A 20570-nucleotide genomic window follows, 5' to 3' on the forward strand; every position below is an offset into this window, starting at 1 on the left:
CAAGTTTGGCCAGGCTAAATCCAAAGACAGTGGTCAACAGTCCACTGCCAGCATCTAGAGGGGTGCAGCCACCTCCGGCTTGACTCTGGTGAGCAGCGATGTAATACACCAGGCAGCAGCACTGGCAGATGTGACGATGGCAGTCAGGATGAGTGACAGCATGTCAGATGCTCAGCCTTCCGGGGAAAAGACCCACGTCTGGGTAGTGTCAGGAGTCTGGCCAAATGACCTGGTGTTCAGGACCAGCCTTGACTCCCACTGGGAACTGGAGAGAAATCCACAGCTGAAGCCCCAGCAAATGGAATCAAGCAACACCATGTTAGGGGAGGGGGGTGGGGGGAGAGGGTCACCTCGCTGTCTGTGGGCTCCTGAATGTCAGGGATGACATTTCTGCTACCACCAAGTCGCTATCATCTGTGGTCAGGACCTCACATCTGTCCCAATGGCTGACAGTGCTTTGGGAAGAATAAGGACATTATCCATACCTTGAATTTATCTATTCCTGATTTCACAGCAAAATCTTCAGTCCTCAGTTTACATTACGCTCAAACCTAGTGAGCTCCACAAATAAAATGTTATAATTGTTTCCCAACAAAATCAATAAGAGCACAAGCACAAACCCCCTTTTCAGTTGGTTTTTGACAACATCTTTTCATGTATCCCACAAATATTAAACGCTATTTTCACTAGAATATTTTCTGTTCCAAATATACCAAAGGTATTTATTTAATTTATTATCAAACTACCCAGCATAAAATAAGGCAGAAGACAAAAGCCACCTTTCAGCTGGATTTTAAATATATTACTCACATTTTCAATTTTGCTCTCTGAGAGCAGAATCTAAAGATTAATTCATTTTAGTGATAAATGAAAAATGTGATTTTCAATGATTTTGACATTTTATCTGTACATTTTAGGGTTATCCATATTATAAGACAAAGATCAAGTATGATAAGGAAAATTATTTTGTGTCATCATAATCCATCAAAATATAGTAAATATCCTTTGACAACCTCTGAAGACCATGCACATGTAAAGGATTGTCCTATCTCTGTATTACTACATTGCCTAGCGCTGCCGGATAAACAACAGGTAAAGTGCTGGTTTTCCCAAACTGCTCTGCAGCTCTCTTAACTGCCTGCTGTATCAAGCCAAGCCAAGGGAAAAAAGAATGGAATAATGAAACAGTAAGCAGATTATATTGTTTTCTTCTCTCATAGAGCTTATCTTAAATGTGCAATTTAACCAAGTAAGAGTTGCATCTAGGAGAAAAATAGTAAATTTCAGAAGAAAAGATCTTTTCTTCAACCATCTAGCCTATAATATTATATACCTATAGTAATAATTCTATATCCCATAATAACAATTTTTTTTTAAATCACTAGCTTGCAAGGTGACTATGGTCATAACTGCGAAATAGTTGCAATACTATTTTATCTAACACTTCTTGAATGTTTAAAAAAAGAAGTTCTAGAGTTTTTATTGAAGTCTTTTATCTGTACAAATTGCTTTGTATTGAGAAAACTCTAAGAATGGGAACATGACTGATTTTCTCCTATGTCCCATTTCCCACACAGAAGGGCCCTGATTCTTTCTGCAGATCAAAGCATGCACCATATGTTCATCAGTATAGACCAGGTTACCCCATGGAAGCTCAGAAGTCCTCCATGGAAGCATGTATTGGGTGCAACCATAATTAACTAATTACTCAGGGTCGGGAGAGGAAAACCTGAGAATCCATTTTAACCTTGATATATGAAACTTGAGTGTTTGAAATGTTTTGCACATATCAAAAAACAAACTTTACATAAAAGCACTGTACAAATACAAATTTTATGTTGTGAAATCGTTCATTAATAGAAATCAGACAGCTAATGTTCATATCGTATTTTTCAGACTGGCTAAACACTCAGTTTATCACTGTGTGCTCCGTTGTGGGTAGCACATGTGCTGTTCCCACCGAATGACACAGATTTCAAAAAAATAAGTATGATTAATTAGATACGTTAAATGACTGATGTACAAAGTTCCTGTAACAAGCCCTCCATGTGGTCATTTACACGTGGTAAACGTTATAAAACCCTTTAAAGACAATTTTTAAGAGGTCCAGCTACCTCCATGGAGTTAAATATTTAAAAGAGAGGAGCGGGAAAATTATAGCTAGAATGTGTATATATACGGTAAAGAATAAACCACAGTGGAAGGGGATAGAAGGGAGCGCTTAGAACAATAGGATATTACACTTAACAAAGTGTAAGTGACGGTAATAACAGTGAACTAGAAAAACATACTTCATTTTAAAATTGAGCCAATTCATAGAAATATGTAAACCCAGTTTAAGTAATCTCTCCCCTCCCCCGGTCCAATTTTGACTTATTGTTATATATTAACTTCAGAGACTCCCTCAGCTGACAAAATGTACTGTTTGGAGATACCCAGGCCACAATCATTAGAGTCACAGGGAAAGATTGTCACACAAAGAGAAAAGCCTGTTGAAATGACACCTTCTCAGAGATTTGTCAGTCTTTGTCCTTTATTTTGCATTTTCGGTGGGGAACAACAGGGAATATCTCTGCCCCTTGTGGCTGTGACTTTGGAAGCTCAGCTTCTATCTGTAAACTGGGGACACCGGAGCTTCCAAGCTGGAATTCTAGGATTTAGTTCCAGCCTTGGGGTTGCTGTGGGGACCGGGGCACCTTCTGCTACAGCTGCCCCCTGCTGCTGTGACCTCAGGACAAGAGGCTCAGCTGCTCTGCCCCAGTGGCTGACCGGGCTCTGTAGTCCTCCCAGCCATCATCTCAGAGCCTCAGACCACAGACCCCTGACACATGACTGATTTCATGGCAGCTGACCCAGCCTTGGGCCCCTCACCCAGCATGGCTGGTCTCCCCAACCAGGTCAGCATGCAGCATTGCACAGCAGGCCAGTTCTTTTTATATGTGGTCCAAAAAAATACTTCCCAAAATCTGGGTTATAAAAATCTTACTTCTAGAACGTAGTCACTGGTCATTTCTATGCAAAATTTACCCTCTTCCAGTGTCAGTTTTTTCCCTTGGGAAATTATACTGATTTCCAGTTGTCTACACTTCCTAGCTCTCTGCGAAGTGGAAATGCTCACAGAGGAGAATGCTTTTTCTCTTCCCAGTAGAGTGACTTCCAGTAGCGCAACAAGCCTGGCCTTGCTCTACTTGCTCCCTCCCGCTCTGTGGATATGAGGAGTGGTCCATCTCCTGGAGAGTGGGCACGAGAGGTCTGCACCTTGCCTTCCCCCTTTTTGGAGCAAGGATGCACACGGTGTGCACAATTCTGTTCCACTCCTCCATGCTCTAAGTGAGAGAAGTGCAAATTCTGCCCTGTGTAGGAGAAGAAGGAAGAATGTGGGAACACGTAGGAACAGGACAGAGTTTGAGAGAGCAAAATATGCAGTGGAGAGACTCTGTGTGAAGCACGACATTGGCCATATGTGTCACCAATTGGGTTCTATGCCTTCTAAAAGGAGCCTTGACTACTTACACAATTCACAGTGTCCACAGAACAACTAAGAGTTGTAGAAATACAACTATCTTTATAGCTAAGAGCAGAAGGCTGTAGAGATACAGGCTCATAATGATGGGAGGTATTGTATAATGTAGTGAGCAGTGCCTCATAAATATACACACAATTAGCCCACAGTGAGCTGAGTGTCTCAGAGCTACTTCTTAGCACCTCTTTATGTAGACCAAGGCTGCCACCCTAGCTCCTGCAGAAACAGTTGTGATGATCTGGGGAAAGGTAGAAAAGGAGAGCAGCAGCATAGAGTTCATGCATGTCTCTGAGAGTGTGATTTCATCCAGTTGTAGGTTGAGGAATCCTGCATGAGCAAATGGACTGGCTACCTGTGTGTCCTTCCCGGAATCTTCTGATGACACTGGGCAGTAATGAGTTTGAGACTGCATATCCTAGAAAGTGCTTGGGATGTAGCTTCTCTATTTTGGTAATTAAATAGAGACCCACTGGTGCTTAGTGACTTAGCTAAATCAACTGCCTGGCTGGGCATACTGATGACTTCATCTTGGAAAAGTAAAGGAGGCTCACCCTGACATGTTGGTTTAGAAATAGGCAGCTGGAGCCCCCCACTCAGGGGGTGAGAACCCGGTGTGCTTAGACTGCAGGCCTCATGGATAGGGCTAAAGAGACAGGAGTCCCTGTGCAGAGGAAGGTGGACAGGGTGTGGTCATGGAAGCAGTTCTTACCACAGCTTGGTCTTCCTTTAAAGCCTTCTTTGGCATTTTAGCTTTCTGGGCCCCAGCAGATGATACACTCATGGTCGCAGAATGTGGCCTCAAAGCTGTGGTGCTGGGTGGAGACTTGGGCCATGGGGACAAAGAGGCTTCTCTCCCCTTGGCTGATCTTGCAACCTGCCACACAAAAAGACACAACTTTGTTATTCTCATTTTGTTTCTTGGATTTGTGTCCCTTTCTTTCACACTCTTCCCCTCCCCTGAGCTGGAATTGCAGAACTGAGGTTTTCAGTCCTAGAGCGCATGGATTTGTTCTTGCTCCCAGGCCCACAATCTCCCCTGGCAGGATTTGATTGGCAGGCTGGGCTTATTTCTCCACTCTCCCCCTTTAATCCTCATGTCCTAAGAACACACCAACAGATCCATGCTCTTTGGAAGCCCCTGGAATGGTGGGGTCTATGTGGAGGGGGGTGGGTGGCAGCTCGAGGCTTGTATCTAGGTAGGAAGAAGGTAGGGAAATAGTAGGAAGGATGAGGATATCAGGATGCACTCCTCCTGATGCCCCGCTAGCTGGCTTTTTGGCTTTCGATTTCACTCTCTGCTCCCTGTTCTCAACAATCAGCTCCTGATCTCCCATTCACACTTCTTGCCCCACTTTATTTATTTATTTATTTTTAAAGAGATAGAGTCTCACTGTGTTGCGCAGGCTGGTCTTGAACTCCTGGACTCAAGCAATCCTCCTGCCTCGGCCTCCTAAAGTACTAGGATTATAGGCATGAGCCACTGCTCCTGGCCTTGCTCTCACTTTCAAGAACTTTCTTTTTCAAACTCAGGTTGGAAAGTGAAAAACCTCAGTATGCTACACAGATTTGTCAATTCAGATACCAAAATCAGAGAAGCACAAAATAAAAGAGAAAGAGAGAGAGAAAAAACTTAAATACAAACCTTTACACTTAAGCTGCCATACTTTTTTCTCATTTCCTTGTCCTCTTTCTGTTTATTAATCTGTAAAATTGAAGACCCATATCATTGGTTATTATCTGCAAAGATTAAAAAAGACAATTTTCTATAAAACTTCTATAAGCAATGAAAGAGTAACGTTTTAAACCATTTGTCTCCCAAAACGATTATGGGATAAAAGTTATAGTATCAAAGAAAAAACAAACTTGTATCCAGAAAAAGAACTTTTATTAAAAAAGTGAACAGGAATATATAACATTGCAAAAATCTAAAGTCATTAGCCTTTATTCATTGCATTAAGTACAACAAAGATCATAGGAAAACATGCATTATTTGCTTATGAGGTGATAATTTGATACATTAGTATAACAGCTATAAATACTAGGCCTTATTCTTAATATAAGATAGCTTGAGAAGGCCGGGCACGGTGGCTCACACCTGTAATCCCACTTTGGGAGGCTGAGGCAGGTGTATCACCTGAGGTCAGGAGTTCAAGACCAGCCTGGCCAACATGGTGAAACCCCATCTCTACTGAAAATACAAAAAATTTTCCGGGCGTGGTGGTGGGCGCCTGTAATTCCAGCTACTTGGGAGGCTGAGGCAGGAGAATCTACCCAGGAGGCAGAGGTTGCAGTGAGCCAAGATAGTGCCATTGCACTCCAGCCTGGGCAACAAGAGTGAAACTCAGTCTCAAAAAAAAGAAAAAAAAAAAGATAGTTTGAGAAATTTAAGATAATTTAATTGTTGAACTTCAATAACGTAATGAATGAAATTTTACTTTAAAAATCAATTTCAAAGCTGGGTGCAGTGGCTTATGCCTGTAATCCCAACACTTTGGGAGGCTGAAGCAGGAGGATTGCTTGAAGCCAGGAGTTCAAGACCAGCCTGAGCAACATAGCAAGACCTCTGTCTCTATAAAAAATAAAAAAATAAAAATTACCCAGGTGTGGTGGTGTGTACCTATAGTCCCAGCTACTCAGGTAGCTGAAGCAGGAGAATCGCTTGAGTCCAGGAGTTTGAGGTTACAGTGAGCTGTGATTGTGCCACTGCACTCCAACCTAGGCAACAGAGTGAGACCCTGACTTCAGAAAAAAAATCAATTTTAATTTCTAGGTATAAAAGGTACTGTATCAAAAAATGTATTATTAGTGCATGTTTCCATAATATTAAGATTTTTTCATAATATGAATTTATGAGTAATGCCAGTGATTCTAATTATAAATAATCCTACTTGAAATTTAAAAATGATGAGAAACACATCTAACCATTAATCTCATTGGCATCTGAACAACAACTACAATGGATTTGTAAAATTTTCTCTCACCTACCAATAAAGCAGAACTCAAGAGCAAGCAGGGCTGTCTAATGACATCTTGCAGTCTGAGAGGATAGTTACTGATGCCCACGAAAGGCTATACTTAGTTGGTTTCAATGGGTTTGAACTCAAGCCTAATACAGTCATGAATGGCTTAACAATGGGGATACATTCTGAGAAATGTGTCATTAGGCAATTTTATCATGTGCATACATTAGAGTGTACTTACAGAAATATAGGTTGCACAGCCCACTACACGCCTAGACTTTACGGCATAGCCTATTGTTCCTAGGCCACAAACCTGAACAGCATGTTACTGTACTGAATATTGTAGGCAACTATAACACAATGATATGTATTTGTGTATCTAAACATATTCAAACATAGAAAAGTTACAGTAGAAACATGGTATCATAATCTTATTGGACTACCATCGTGTATTTAGTCTGTTGTTGACCAAAATGTCATTATGCAACACATGGCTGTATTATAGTTAACCTTTGTTGTAATGGTTTAAAAATCATTTTCTTCATACTACTATAAGAAATTTCTAGAAAATGTAATAAATCATCCCTCAGATAGAACCTGTGATCTTTAGAAAGGACTGAAGAGCATCAGAAAATATATGACTATTTTGTCTTAATTTCTTTCAAACACATAGGGTTGTTTAAAGCAAGAATTATGACACTGGTATAAATATAAAACATATGACAACTGTAACATGATGAATGAAGAAATAAATAGATATATAAATAAACATATATGTTTGCAAAGTTTCTATACTTTACATGAAATTGTCCAACACTAACTCCAAGTGGACTGTCAAAAGTTAAGAATGTAAATTACAATCACTAGAGCGCCTGCTATAAGATAGAGCCAAATGGTAATAGATAATTTGCAATGGAATTCTAAAATATTAAAAGTAGGCAAAAAAGAAGGAACAGAGGAATGACAACAACAAAACCAAGAGAAGACATATAGAAAATAAATAACGAAATAGTAGACCTTAATCTGACCCTATTAATAGTAACAGTGAATGATGAATTAAACAATCTAGTTAAAATGCAGAAATGGCTAGGATGTATTCAAAAAGCAAGCTCAACTATTTACTGTCTACAAGAGAAGCACTTAAATATAAATATACTGAGAATTTAAAAATAAGTGCATTGAAAAAGGAATGCAACACAAACATAAGAAGGCTGGAGAAAATGCATTTATATCTAGTATAGTAGACTTCAGGATGGAAGAAATGCTAGAGCTAAAGAAAGACATATAATGATAAAAAGATCAGTTCATTGGGAGGGCATAACGATCACAAACGTGTATGTGCCTAATAACAGAGCTAAAAAATATGCAAAGCAAAATTGGCAAAATTATGAGAATTAATAAATAACACTCCTGTCTCAGAAATTGATAGAAACAAAAAAATTAAATACATATAGATGCCCTGAATAACACTATCACTCTCAATCTAATTTATAACACCCAACAATGGCAGAAAACACATCATTTTCAAGTATATGTAATACTGTCCCATGAAAGACTATATACTGGGGGAGGGGCCAAGAGCCAATTAGAAGCAGCTGTGGTCCATGGCTGTCATGCAGAAGAATAAAAATGGCGACTGAATTCAGCACCTTCAACTGAAATATCCAGATTCTCACACTGGGACCAACTAGGCAGACAACCTGACCCACAGAGAATGAAGAAAAGCAGGGTGGGGTGATGGTCCACCCAGAAGTGGCACAGAGCCAAAGAAACCCCTGCCCCCAGCCAAGGGAAGTGGTGAGTGATTGTGTGACCTCCCCTGGGAAACCATGCTTCTCCCATAGATCTTTGCAACCTGTGGATCAGGAGATCCCCTCATGAGCCCATACCACCAGGGCCCTGGGTCTGATACACAGAGGTGTGTGGAGTCTTGGCAGACTAGCTGCTCAGGCATACATGGAGATCCAGCAGTTTTACATACTCTGGTCCTGGGAATCCTGGCAAGGTGGCAGATCTGTCTGTACCTTCCCCGGGGAAGGGGACTGAATCCAGGTAGCCAAGCAGCTTTGTTCTGCAGGCCCCACTTCCATGGTGCCTTACAGGTTAAGACCCACTGGCTTGGAATTCCAGACAGACAGCAGCAACAGGCTGGAGACGGCCTGAGATGGACCAAATTCCCAGGGGGAGAGGCGGCTGCCATCTCTACAGTTTGGTTGACTCAGCTGTTCTAGCCCACCAGTTCTAGGGAGTCCAGGTGGTTCACATGAGGAGGAGTCTCCCACAATGCAGCACAGCTGCTGTGCAGAAATAGTGGCCAGACTGCTTCTTTAAGTGGAACCCTGATCCAGCTCTCCTCACTGGGTGGGGCCTCCCTGCAGGAATTTCAGCAACTCCAGCCAGGGTTATATGTACAGAACTCTGATCTCTCCCTGGGACAGAGCCCCAATTAAAAGACATAAAATGGCAAGTTGGATAAAGAGTCAAGACCCATCAGTATGCTGTCTTCAACAGACCCCTCTCACATTCAAAGAAACACATATGCTCAAAATAAAGGGAGGAGGGAGAAATTTACCAAGCAAAAGGAAAACAGAAAAAAGTGGGATCACAATCCTAGTTTCTGACTAAACAGACTTTAAACCAACGAAGATCAAAAAAGACAATGAAGGGCACTACATAATGGTAAAAGGTTCAATTCAACAAGAAGAGCTAACTATCCTGAATGTATATGCACCCAATACTGGAGCACCCAGATTCAAAAAGCATGCTCTTAGAGTCCTACAAAGAGACTTAGACTCCGCTCTATCTATTAATGTATACCAGAGGTGTTTCCAGTTTTTTGCTCTTACAAACAAAGCTGCTATAAACATTTGTGACCCAAGACTTTGTGTGAACATGTGCTTTTATTTATCTTGGGTAAATACCAAGGAGTGGGATAGCCAGACCATCTGTTAAGTATAGAATTTTAGAAATTTCTTTTAGCTGTCAAAATATTTTTCTAAATGGTTGTATAGTTTACATTTCCACTAGCAGAGAATAAGAGTTCTAGTTGCTCCACATCCTTGACAACACTTTATATGGTCGACCTTTTAAATTTTAGCCATGCTAGTGAGTATATAGCAATATTTCATTGAGATTTTAATTTGTATCTCCCTAAAGACTAATGATGTTGAGCATCTTTTTATGTCATCATTTGCCATCTATATATCTTTTTAAATAAAGTGCCTGTTCAAATAGCTTGGCCATTTAAAAAATTGGGTTGTTTTCGTATTATTACATTGTAAGAGTTCTTTGCATAGTCTATATGCAAATCCTTTGTTAAATATATTTTGCAAATATTTCCTCCCACTCTGTGGTTTGTTTTTTCATTAAAAAATTTTTTTGAAGAGTAAACTTTTTGTTGTTGTTGTTTGAGACAATGTCTTGCTCTGTCACCCAGGCTGGAGTGCAGTGGTGTGATCAGTGATGTGATCAGGGCTCACTGCAGCCTTGACCTCCCTGGATTCAGGTGATCCACCCACCTCAGCCTCTGAAGTATCTGAGACTACAGGTGCATGCCAACATGACTACCTAATTTTTCTATTTTTTATAGAGATGAAGTTTCATCATGTTGCCCACGCTGGTCTTGAACTCCTGGGCTCAAGCAATCCATCAGCCTTGGCCTCCCAAAGTGTTGGGATTACAGGCGTGAGCCACCATGCCTGGCTAAACTTTTTAAATTTTTGATAAACTGTAATTTGTTATTTAAGAAATCTTTGCCAAATCTGAGACCACTAAGATTATCTCTTATACCTTATTCTAGAAGTTTTGTAGCTTCAGCTATTACAATTCTGATCCATTTCAAGTTAACTTTTACATGAGGTGTCAGGTAAGGGTTGAAGTTCATTTTTCACTTATTGCTGTCCAATTGTTTCAGTACTATTTGTTGAAAAGATTATCCTTACTACTTGAATTGCGTTTGCATCTTGGTCAGAAATCAATTCATTATATATGATCCATAAGTTCTACTTCTAGATTCTCTAGTCTATTCCAGCAATCTATGTTTATCCTTATGCCAAGACCACTTTACCTTGACTACTATAGTTTTACAGCAAGTTTGAATCAGGCATGTGCATCTTCCAACTTTGCTCTTTTTCAAAATTGTTTTAGCTATCCCAGGTCTTGTGCATGTCTATATAAATTTTAGGATAGGCTTGTTGATTTCAACAACAACAACAAAAACCCTGCTGGGATTTTGATTAGGATTGTGTTTAATCTATAAATCAATCTGGAGAGAATTGACAGCTTGATAATATGCATCTCCTGAATCATGAACAATGGAATATTTCTGCACCTATTTAAGTCTTTCATTTATTTCAGCAGTATTTTATATTATTAACTGTACATGTTTTATGCGTATTTTGCCATGTTTATCCATAAGCACTTCATATTGTTTGATGCTATCATAACTGGTGTTTTTCAAAATTTCAATTTTTGATTGCTCATTGCTTATATATAGAAGTACAAGATTTTTGTATCTTGATCTTTGCAACCTTTCTGCATTCACTTATTAATTCTAGTAGCTATTTTTGTAGATTTGTTAGGATTTCCTATAGAGATGATCATGTCGTCTGGGAATTTAAAAAGTTCTACCTCTTCCTTCCCAATCTGGATGTTATTTATTTTTGTGTGTGTGCATTATTGCACTGGTTAGGACCTAAAATACAATGTTGAATGGAAGTGATAAGAGCAGAAATTCTTGTCATATTTCTGACTTCAGACTCAAAATCTTCATCCTTTCACTATCAACCATGATAATAGTGTGTTTCGTAGATATCGCCTATCAGCTTGAGAGGTTCTCTTCTATTCCCAGTTTGCTGAGAGTATTTTTTATCATGAATGGAAATTGGAGTCCCTCAAATGCTTTTTCTTCATCCACCTGCTTCTGGCTCCATTATTTTATATTCTTCCCATGAACAAAATATATTTATCTTCACTCAAGGCCTTAAAAAATCTCATTGTACTATAGCATCAGCTTGCAGTCTGGAATCTCATTATCTAAATCAGGTCCAGGTGCAGATGAGGCTCCTTGAGTACAATCTCTCTTGATCTGAAGATCCAGAAACTAAAGAGACAAGTTAGCTGTCCCCACACAGCCAATGTTCCATTGTGGGACACAGGATAAGCACTAGAGATCCCACTCCATTCAAGGGAAGAAGGAGGCATAGAGCAATAGCTGGTCCACAGTAATTTTGAAATCCAACTAGGCATATATTGCCAGTTCCTTGACTAGGACCAAGTCCTGCTCCACTTTTGGAGGCAAACTACCACACACAGTAAATATTGTTGGAAAACTTGAACTTCTGAAGTCCACGTAGTTGTTTTTACTCTGTATTGTTTCTCACAGGTATTGGGGGAACCAGCCCCCAATATTTCAATGTAGGTTCTTTCTATTTTCCCCAAGTGTTGGCCAGTCTGAGAAATAAAGAGAAAAAGTACAAAGAGAGAAATTTTATAGCTGGGCCTCCGGAGGTATCATCACATATTGGTAGGACCGTGATGGCGCCCCCGAGCTGCAAAACCAGCAAGTTTTTATTAGGGATTTCAAAAGGGGAGGCAGTGTACGAATAGGGAGTGGGTCACAGAGATCACACGCTTCAAAGGGCAATGAAAGATCACAAGTCAAAGGGCAGAGCAAGATCACAAGGCAAGGGAGAAATTAGAATTACTGATGCAGGTCCATGTCCCGCTGGGCACACACTGTCTTGATAAACATCTTAACAGGAAACAGCGTTCGGGAGCAGACAACTGGTCTGACTAGAATTTACCAGGCTGGAATTTCCCAATCCTAGTAAGCCTGAGGGCACTGCAGGAGACCAGGGCGTATTTCATCCCTTATCTCAACAGCATAAGACAGACACTCCCAGAGCGGCCGTCTATAGACCTACCCCTGGGAATGCATTCCTTTCCCAGGATATTAATTATTAATATTTCTTGCTGGGAAAAGAATTCGGTGATATTTCTCCTACTCACACGTCTGTTTATATAGGCTCCCTGCAGGAAGAAAAATATGGCTCTATTCTGCCCGACCCCGCAGGCTGTCAGACCTTATGGTTATCTTTCCTTGTTCCCTGAAAATCACTGTTATCCTGTTCTTTTTCAGGGTGCACTGATTTTATATTGTTCAAATACACGTTTTACAATTTGTACAGTTAACGCAATCATCACAGGGTCCTGAGGTGACATACATCCTCAGCTTACAAAGATGACGGGATTGAGAGATTAAATCCTATGCCTAGGATTTAATAGGCATAGGAAATTATAAAAGTATTAATTTTGGGAACTAATAAATGTCCATGAAATGTTCACAATTTATGTTCAGAGACTGCAGTAAAGACAGGTGTAAGAAATTATAAAAGTATTAATTTTGGGAACTAATAAATGTCCATGAAATCTTCACAATTTATGTTCTTCTGCCGCAGCTTCAGCCGGTCCCTCTGTTCGGGGTCCCTGACTTGCTGCAACACACAGGTGGTTCCTTATTTCCTTGTGTGCTTCCTTATCTTTGACTATGTGATATTAATTGCTCCTATAATTGTAGGGGAGAGAATTCTGGGAATTCTCTGAGGCTTAGGATTAAATTACTTCCTTACAGAGAGTATTTCCATTTGCTTCTTTCAGGGGTACTTCCTATTCACTTAAAACCAAACTGATGCCAGGTGCAAGGTACAGTGGCACGTAGTCCCAGCTACTTGGGAGGCTGAGGTGGGAGGATTGCTTGAGCACAGGAGTTCGAGATCAGCTTATGCAACCTATCAAGATCGCATCTCTTAAAAACAAGCAAACTAACTAAACTGAGGGTTTGAGGTTCTGTGAATACAAATTTGAGTTGCAAATCCCCTGTAAGTCCTGCCTCTCAAAACCCTTCGGGAAGAGATTGTCCCCCTTGTGTTGCTCAGTACAGAGGCAACTCTCCCCTGCAGGCCTCTGGGTATTAGGTAGGTTGCAGGTTTACATTTGGTCACATTCATCCTGCAGGAATGACCTTTGGTTCTCAGCCTAATGCAAGAGATCACTGCTGATTACCCCTACACACACATACACACACACATGCACACGCACACACACACAGAGGCACTCTAGCATGCCCTGCACTGTGACTTCTGTTTAGTGCAGATGAGTAAATCCCCTCAGGACAATCAGCTTGGAAACCTCAACTGACCCCTCTGTGTTTCCCTTGATGTTTGACTTTTGACCAGGTAAGCCCCATGTCCCTGGTCAATTTTTTATGCTTTTACAAAGATGTTTGTAATACTGTATCTAGAATTTTTTGAGGTTTTAAAAAAGTTGGGCGGGAGTCACTTTGAATGCTAGCTCACTTGACAAGTTTTCCCTGTAATCAATATCAATATGGTTAATTTTTAAAAGTTTGAGCCCTTTTTCCTACAGTTTCCATTCTGCCTCAGAATTCTCTCTCAATACATTGGAGTTGATACATGAACTTATGTTTATTTGGAATCCCTGGAGTAATAGAAGAAGCTTCCACGTTTCTTCCCATTAGGGTGATTAACGATTCTGGTTTTTCTTAGGACTGTGGGGTTTCTCAGGATGTAGGGCTTTCAGTGCTAAGAATGAACAAACCAGGATGAGATAGTCACCCTATCAGTCATGATCAATGCTTTAACCACTGAGTGTAGGTGTGGATAATCCACTCCTCTTTTCTCTGAGGAGGGAAGGAACCTTTACACATTACTAGTGGGAACAGACAAACCCATGACCCAATAGCTCCTTCCTCAACTCTGTTGCTTGGTCAGTGAAATGGCTCAGGGGGGGATAAAGGGAGCCTCTTGAAGACCTGCAGGACTCCTATTCATACAGAAGTCATTGATGCCACCTCCTCTAGCTCAGCTTTGGGTGCTCTCCTTTTTAGAAAGACAATTCCCTGGCCAGGAAGCTCCCATTGTCATATAGTGTGCTAGATGGCCAACTTCCCTATAAATATATAAAGTGGTGTGTGTGGGGGATCCCTCTCCCAAGCAATTCCTGTGATTCACCTTACCCGAGCTCTCCTCTTGGTGGGCTAATAAAAGACCAAAGGAGTGTGTCCTGTCTGTTAATTTTCTTCTTGTAAGTTTTTAATCAATAAACTTTATACCTGCACCACACATTCTAGAGGTATGTATGCCTGTACCCTTGTATTCCATCTAGGAATACAACAGCACAACACTAGATATTGCCCATGGTGAGCAGTTGGCCTAATCACCACGTTGCGAGAGATAAATGGCAATTTCCTTATGTGGAAATTTGGACCACCTCCCTGAGCGCAGGGGTAATGGCTTATATTTATGTAAATGTATTAGTATTAGTAAATGTATTAGAAAGTGTAACATGCTAATAGCGATGTGCCAGGGAAAGGAATTGGTGAATAAATAAATTAAATGAAAACAAAGGAAGAGGATCAGAATCACAAACGGATAAGACATTTCACTTAACCACACCTGGCTAAGAGTTTTTCCTTATTATATGAGGCAGCAGATCTCAACATGTGGTCCAAGGACCCCTAAGGTGCCCCAAACCTTAGGGGTTCTGTGAGGCCTAAATTATTCTCATAATAATACTAAGAGATCTGTAACTGTTTCTTCATTCTCATGGTCTCACAAGTGGACACTGGAGTTTTTCAGAAGCTACGTGATATTTATCATGGCAGAGAATACAGAAGCATCTACGAGAATTTAAATATTTTCCAGGAAGCCAAATACTAAAGAAATTTGCAGAAATAAGTGGCTGGGTATGGTGGCTCATGCTTGTAATTCTAGCACTTTGGGAGGCTGAGATGGGTGGATCACTTGAGCCCAGGAGTTCACAACCAGCCTGGGCAATGTGGCAAAACCCTGTCTCTACAAAAAATAGAAAAATTAGCCGGACATCTTGGTGCATGGCTGTAATCCCAGCTACTTGGGAGGCTGAGGCAGGAGAATAACCTGAGCCCAGGAAGTCAAGGCTGCAGTGAGCCATGATTGTGCCACTGCACTGCAGTCTGGGTGACAGAGTATGACCAACTCCAAAAAAAAAAAAAAAATAATAACACACACACGTATACAAAATACACACATATGTAAGACAAAGCCACTTTTGCTAAACATTTTCTGTGTTGAGAAAGATTTTCTTATAAACAATATGCCATTTATGTCAGCATGTAAAGAGTTTAGTGTTGTTATTTTCAAGTCATTTAATAAATAATTTGATTCTGTTTTCCTTTCATATATGGTAAATATCAATAGATAAAACCCATCTGTGTTAGTCTATTCTCACATTGCTATAAAGAAATATCTGAGACTGGGTAATTTATAGAGAAAAGAGGTTTAATTGGCTCACGGTTCTGCACGCTGTACAGGAAGCACAGGGGCTTCTGCTGCTGGGGAGACCTCAAGAAGATTCCAATCATGGTGGAAGGTGAAGGGGGAGCAGGTGTCTCACATGGTGGGAGCAGGAGCGAGAGAGAGAAGTGGGGAGGTGCTATACATTTTTAAATGACCAGAACTCACTCACTATAGTGAAGACAGTATCATGGGAGATGACGCTAAACCATTCATGAGAAATCTGCCCGCATGATACAATCACCTCCCATGAGGCCCCCACTCCAACATTGGAGCTTACATTTCTATATGAGATTTTGATGGGAACACACATCCAAACTGTATCACCATCTAAACCAAATTTTCTTGGGGGACCTCAATGACACTTAAGATTGTAAAGCGATCCTGAGACCAAAAAGGTTGAGAACCCCTGGAATGGAACCTGGAAATTAATCCTGGAAACCCCACTGTAGTTACTCTGTGTATTGTATAGCTGTGTCACATGTGTATTAACAGTATTACGGGCTTATTAAAGTACATATAGTTCATGCCATATATAGTGTGGGTTAAGCCATTCTCAAATAAATATTTTTTGTTATCCCTTCCATCATTTACTCATAACAAATATTTATTGGCCATCTACTCCATGAGGGCCACCATGTTAGGTTTTACGGGCAAAACTGTAGCTCACAGAATGGAAACAGCAGGTAAGATAACAGGCCATCTCTATAGAATGTGATGAGAGCCACAAGAGGAGAACTGTGTGCCACGCCAGCATGAGGGTGGGCACCTCTTCCAGGCAAGGGAAGTCAGGGTGGGAGAAGTTTCCCAGAGGAGGCAGCATCTGACCTCCGACCTGAAAGATGAGAGGAGCTAACCAGGTGCTGACCAAGAGAGGTCAGTTCAGGGAGAAGGAACAGCACAGAAGGAACAGAACTCTGAGGCATCCTTATCTGAATCTCCTGAGTGTAAAGAGAGAAATCTACCTGCTGATTTCAGGTAGGGTAGATGGCTGCAAGAATTCATGGGGCTCATTCTGATGAATTTTGAACAACACACCCTCAGGAGAGCTCTTCCTTTCACAAGGTTTGCCTTCTAGCTCTTTGACTTCCTAAGTGGATTGTGGGTCGGTCGCAGCGGCTCATGCCTGTAATCCCAACACTTTAGGAGGCTGAGGCAGGAGGATTGCTTGAGTCCAGGAGTTCAAGACCAGCCTGGGCAATATAGCGAGGCCCTGTCTCTATATTTTATAAATGTTATTTTAAAAATTAGATTGTGAAGGCTATGCAGGACTAATAAATATCCAAGATTGCATGGAGCACATTTGACTGACCAGTGGGCAGAGACTCACTGATAGCGAGACAGGGACCACATGGACAGCAGAACTTGCTCCTCTGCCTTCCATGGCATACAGGGACACAGTCACATTAGGCCACGCTTGTGTCATGTTTGTCTTGATGAAGAGCCACTATTCACAGAGCTTCCATGTAAACGTGGTTTTGCACAGGCCACGGAAACATCTGTTTCCTAACTGGATGGCCAAATACTGCCACATGACATATAACAGGACTGCACAGGCTTGAGGCATGCCTCGGAGGGAACGCAGGTGTCAGGAACCTAGTTGTGGGAGCGAGGGAGACTGCAATGGTAACTCAGTGCTGTGCCCCCAGAATGGGGCTAGGGCAACCTATGTACTTCCTTCCTATCTCCAGTCTGGATTGTTCCAAGAAATAGGGTGCACGGGGATGAAGCAGATGGAAATGAAGTAAGAGAAAGAGTTCAATCATGGTGTTTTTCTGATGAGGACCCTCTCTTTTGTTAACTTCAAAATAAGTGAAAGCCACTCAGCCTAGGAATCATGGGAAGATACAAAATTATTTCATATGCTTCCTCAAAAGCCATTCTAAGGATACAATCACTCTAGGTTGCATTGCTTACCTAACATATATATTATATAAATAATAAATATGTGTATAAGTTGTATATAATAAATAAATAAATAAATATTTATCTATTTTTTTAAATAGACAGTGTCTTGCTCTGTCGCCCGGGCTGAAAAGCAGTGGTACAATCAGCTCACTGCAGTGTCAAACTCCTAGGCTCAAGTGATCCTCACACTTCCCACCTAGCCTCCTGAGTAGGAGGACTGCAGGCATGCGCTACCATGCCTAGCTAATCTTTTTTATTTTATATAAAAACGGGGCCTCACTATGTTGCTCAGGCAGGTCTCGAACTCCTGGGCTCAAGTGATCCTCCCATCTCAGTCTCCCAAAGCACTGGGATTACAGGCATGAGCTGCCACACACAGCCAGTTTACATATACTTACTGATTGTGCCTCTTTACTACCAGTTCTTTGACTTTTTGCACTCTTAACAAGTCAGAAAATAACTTTCATTGGAAAATAGTAATAGACAAGCATGTAACAAAACCCTTCTAGCTAGAAAGTATTTACATTTTTACAAAACGACTGTGGTCAACTCCACCTTCTCCCACTCTCCCTTGTCAGTGCAATCACAAATCCTGGGTCCTGGAAAAACGCAGGATAGCGAGAAACAAAGGAAGCACAAAATAGCAACAACAAGGCCAGGCTGCCTCCAAGTGAGTAACAGAATGCCTTGCAGGGATAGGGAGAAGGTGGCGAAATAGTGACCTCGATGGGTCCAAAGCAGGTATGCAATGGAAACCTCCATCACAAGAAGAACCTCAAGCCCACTCCCTCTATTGAAATCATGAGCTCCTAGACTAGTCTAGGCATCCTGAAGGCTCTTTCGCTGTCGTGGGGTTTGTGGTGCAGGCTCTTGCTGCTTGGCAACAAGCTTGGGGCGCAACAAACTTCTAAACCACAAAATAAAACGTGATTGGTTCCCCTGTGAGCAATACAATAGCACCCGTTAAAGGCTTACAGTTAAAATAAAGAGGCAAAGTAATTCAAAGAGTATGGGATCTGCTCCTAGTATAGGCACAAATTCACTGATTGAGTAGTTTAATTTCTTCTCTATTGCTGCTAACAAACAATATAACATTGGCTTTCCACTCTATAAAAACACTTTCAATTTTAATGACAATGTGCACATATATTTAGTTGTTTGTTTTCCAAAGCAAAGCCTGAACTTTGGAGGAATGACAGAGGAGAGTGGGGGTGGGGGTAGAAGAAATTCACCAAGTAGACTCAAATAATGGAGTCTATTTTTATATGCCAGGTATTTAAAAGTAGAAGGCCCAAAATAACACATTTGTTAACACATGGTTTTTGCGAATCGCCAACCATAAATTTTTTTCGTTGCCTGCATTCCCAAGTTGGTTTCGTAGAAGGCTTTATTGTAATCCAGGAGAATTGTTTTGCATTAATTTCTATGACAAGGAACCCAAAACACAGGGTGCTGAGAGTAACAAAACAGAGTTAGGGAAACAGTCATGACTTGGCACAAAGTGTGACAAGCTGTAAAAAAGCGAATGTTTCAATATCTGAAGTGGTGTTGATTTCCTATGAGCAACCTTTTCTCTTCCAAACAGTATCATATTCTTTTCAAGCACATTTAGAACGCAAGTCAAGCTGTGTTTTATTTTTTATTATAATAAACACAGTCAGTTTACCGTAACAAAGACATACTAGTGGTAATCAGCTGAAAGCCAAATACGCCACCATAAGCTGGGCAGGGGGCTGCTGTGGCGGGGCTGGGGGCTGGGGGCTGGGTAGTCAACTGATAAAAGACCAGCCGTCTGGAAAGTTCTCTTAAAAGAACATAAAAAGGCAGTGTTTTCTTATGAGACTAACACAGAATGCCAAAATATCTAGCTGGGCTCTTTTTTTATTGTCACTTATGGCAATTTGTAACTGAAAATAGCAATTCCTTCAAAATAGCGGGCTCTCATATTTGTTTTTTTAAATCTCCATAATAAAATGCAGAAATTTTATACATGGTTTTAAATGGTAATACTATTTTTTACACAAGACTCTAGTAAGCATATTTATTGCTGTGCTACTCAAACTGATTTCTTTAAAATGACCATTTACATATGTTTATAATTTTACATGTACTTAGATTTTTGATAAAGATGAAATGAGTCATTCACAGGAAACAATCACAAATAAAGTTTATAAAACTTTCATGGTTAAATTAAATTCCTGAATTCAAATTTGTTAGGAAATAATGTAAATCATCTTACCACATCCTGAACTAATGATTTTTCATAATGAAGCTCTTCTCTTAATCTGTCTCTACTATCCATTAACTGAAATAGAGAAGAAATTATATTTTTATTAAAGATAAGAACAGAACACCTAAAATCCCTCCTCAAGAAAATTTAGTGAAACATATTTTAATATGAGAAAAATGGATCTCAATCTGATCAAAAGAAAAATAAATTTCTACAGATTATCATCTTATATTATTACGGAATTATTATGCAAGCAAGTAAAATATACACAGAAAATACCGATTTATTTACACCTTTTCTCACCCCATGCCATCAAAATGTAACATCACAATAAAGCAAGTCCTACTCTGTCAAAAAGAACAATTTTACTTAAGGCTTTATGTGACCCATCTCTTATTTTAGGGTTTTGCGCTATGTCTATGTGCATATCAAACCACATTTATGCCAATTGAAAATAGCTATCAGAAGCATACACTGGGCTGGGTGCAGTGGCTCACACCTGTAATCCCAGTGCTTTGAGAGGCTGAGGCAGGAGGATTGCTTGAGGCCAAGGGTGTGAGACCAACCTGGTAGTCCCAGCACTTTGGAAGGCTGAG

The 20570-nt window shown here is 40.6% G+C and overlaps 1 protein-coding gene across 10 annotated transcripts in view; it reads right to left on the reverse strand.

Moving 5' to 3' along the window:
* Positions 1–20570, reverse strand: part of C10orf67 (chromosome 10 open reading frame 67) — a 142882-nt gene that overhangs the window by 60114 nt on the left and 62198 nt on the right. For 8 of the 10 annotated variants that reach the window (XM_017016031.2, NM_001365862.2, XM_047424968.1 and 5 more), the window contains 3 exons: positions 19984–20049; positions 5166–5225; positions 4233–4397 (listed from right to left, as the gene is read on the reverse strand). In XM_017016031.2, coding sequence (XP_016871520.1) covers positions 4233–4397; positions 5166–5225; positions 19984–20049 — 291 coding nt within the window. Of the gene's footprint in view, positions 1–2515; positions 3354–4232; positions 4398–5165; positions 5226–19983; positions 20050–20570 lie in introns of those variants that run through there. The other 2 variants (XM_011519442.3, XR_930487.2) reach the window with 2 other exon arrangements.

This window comes from Homo sapiens, chromosome 10, assembly GCF_000001405.40.
Source record: "Homo sapiens chromosome 10, GRCh38.p14 Primary Assembly".
Classification (NCBI taxonomy): Eukaryota; Metazoa; Chordata; class Mammalia; order Primates; family Hominidae; genus Homo; species Homo sapiens.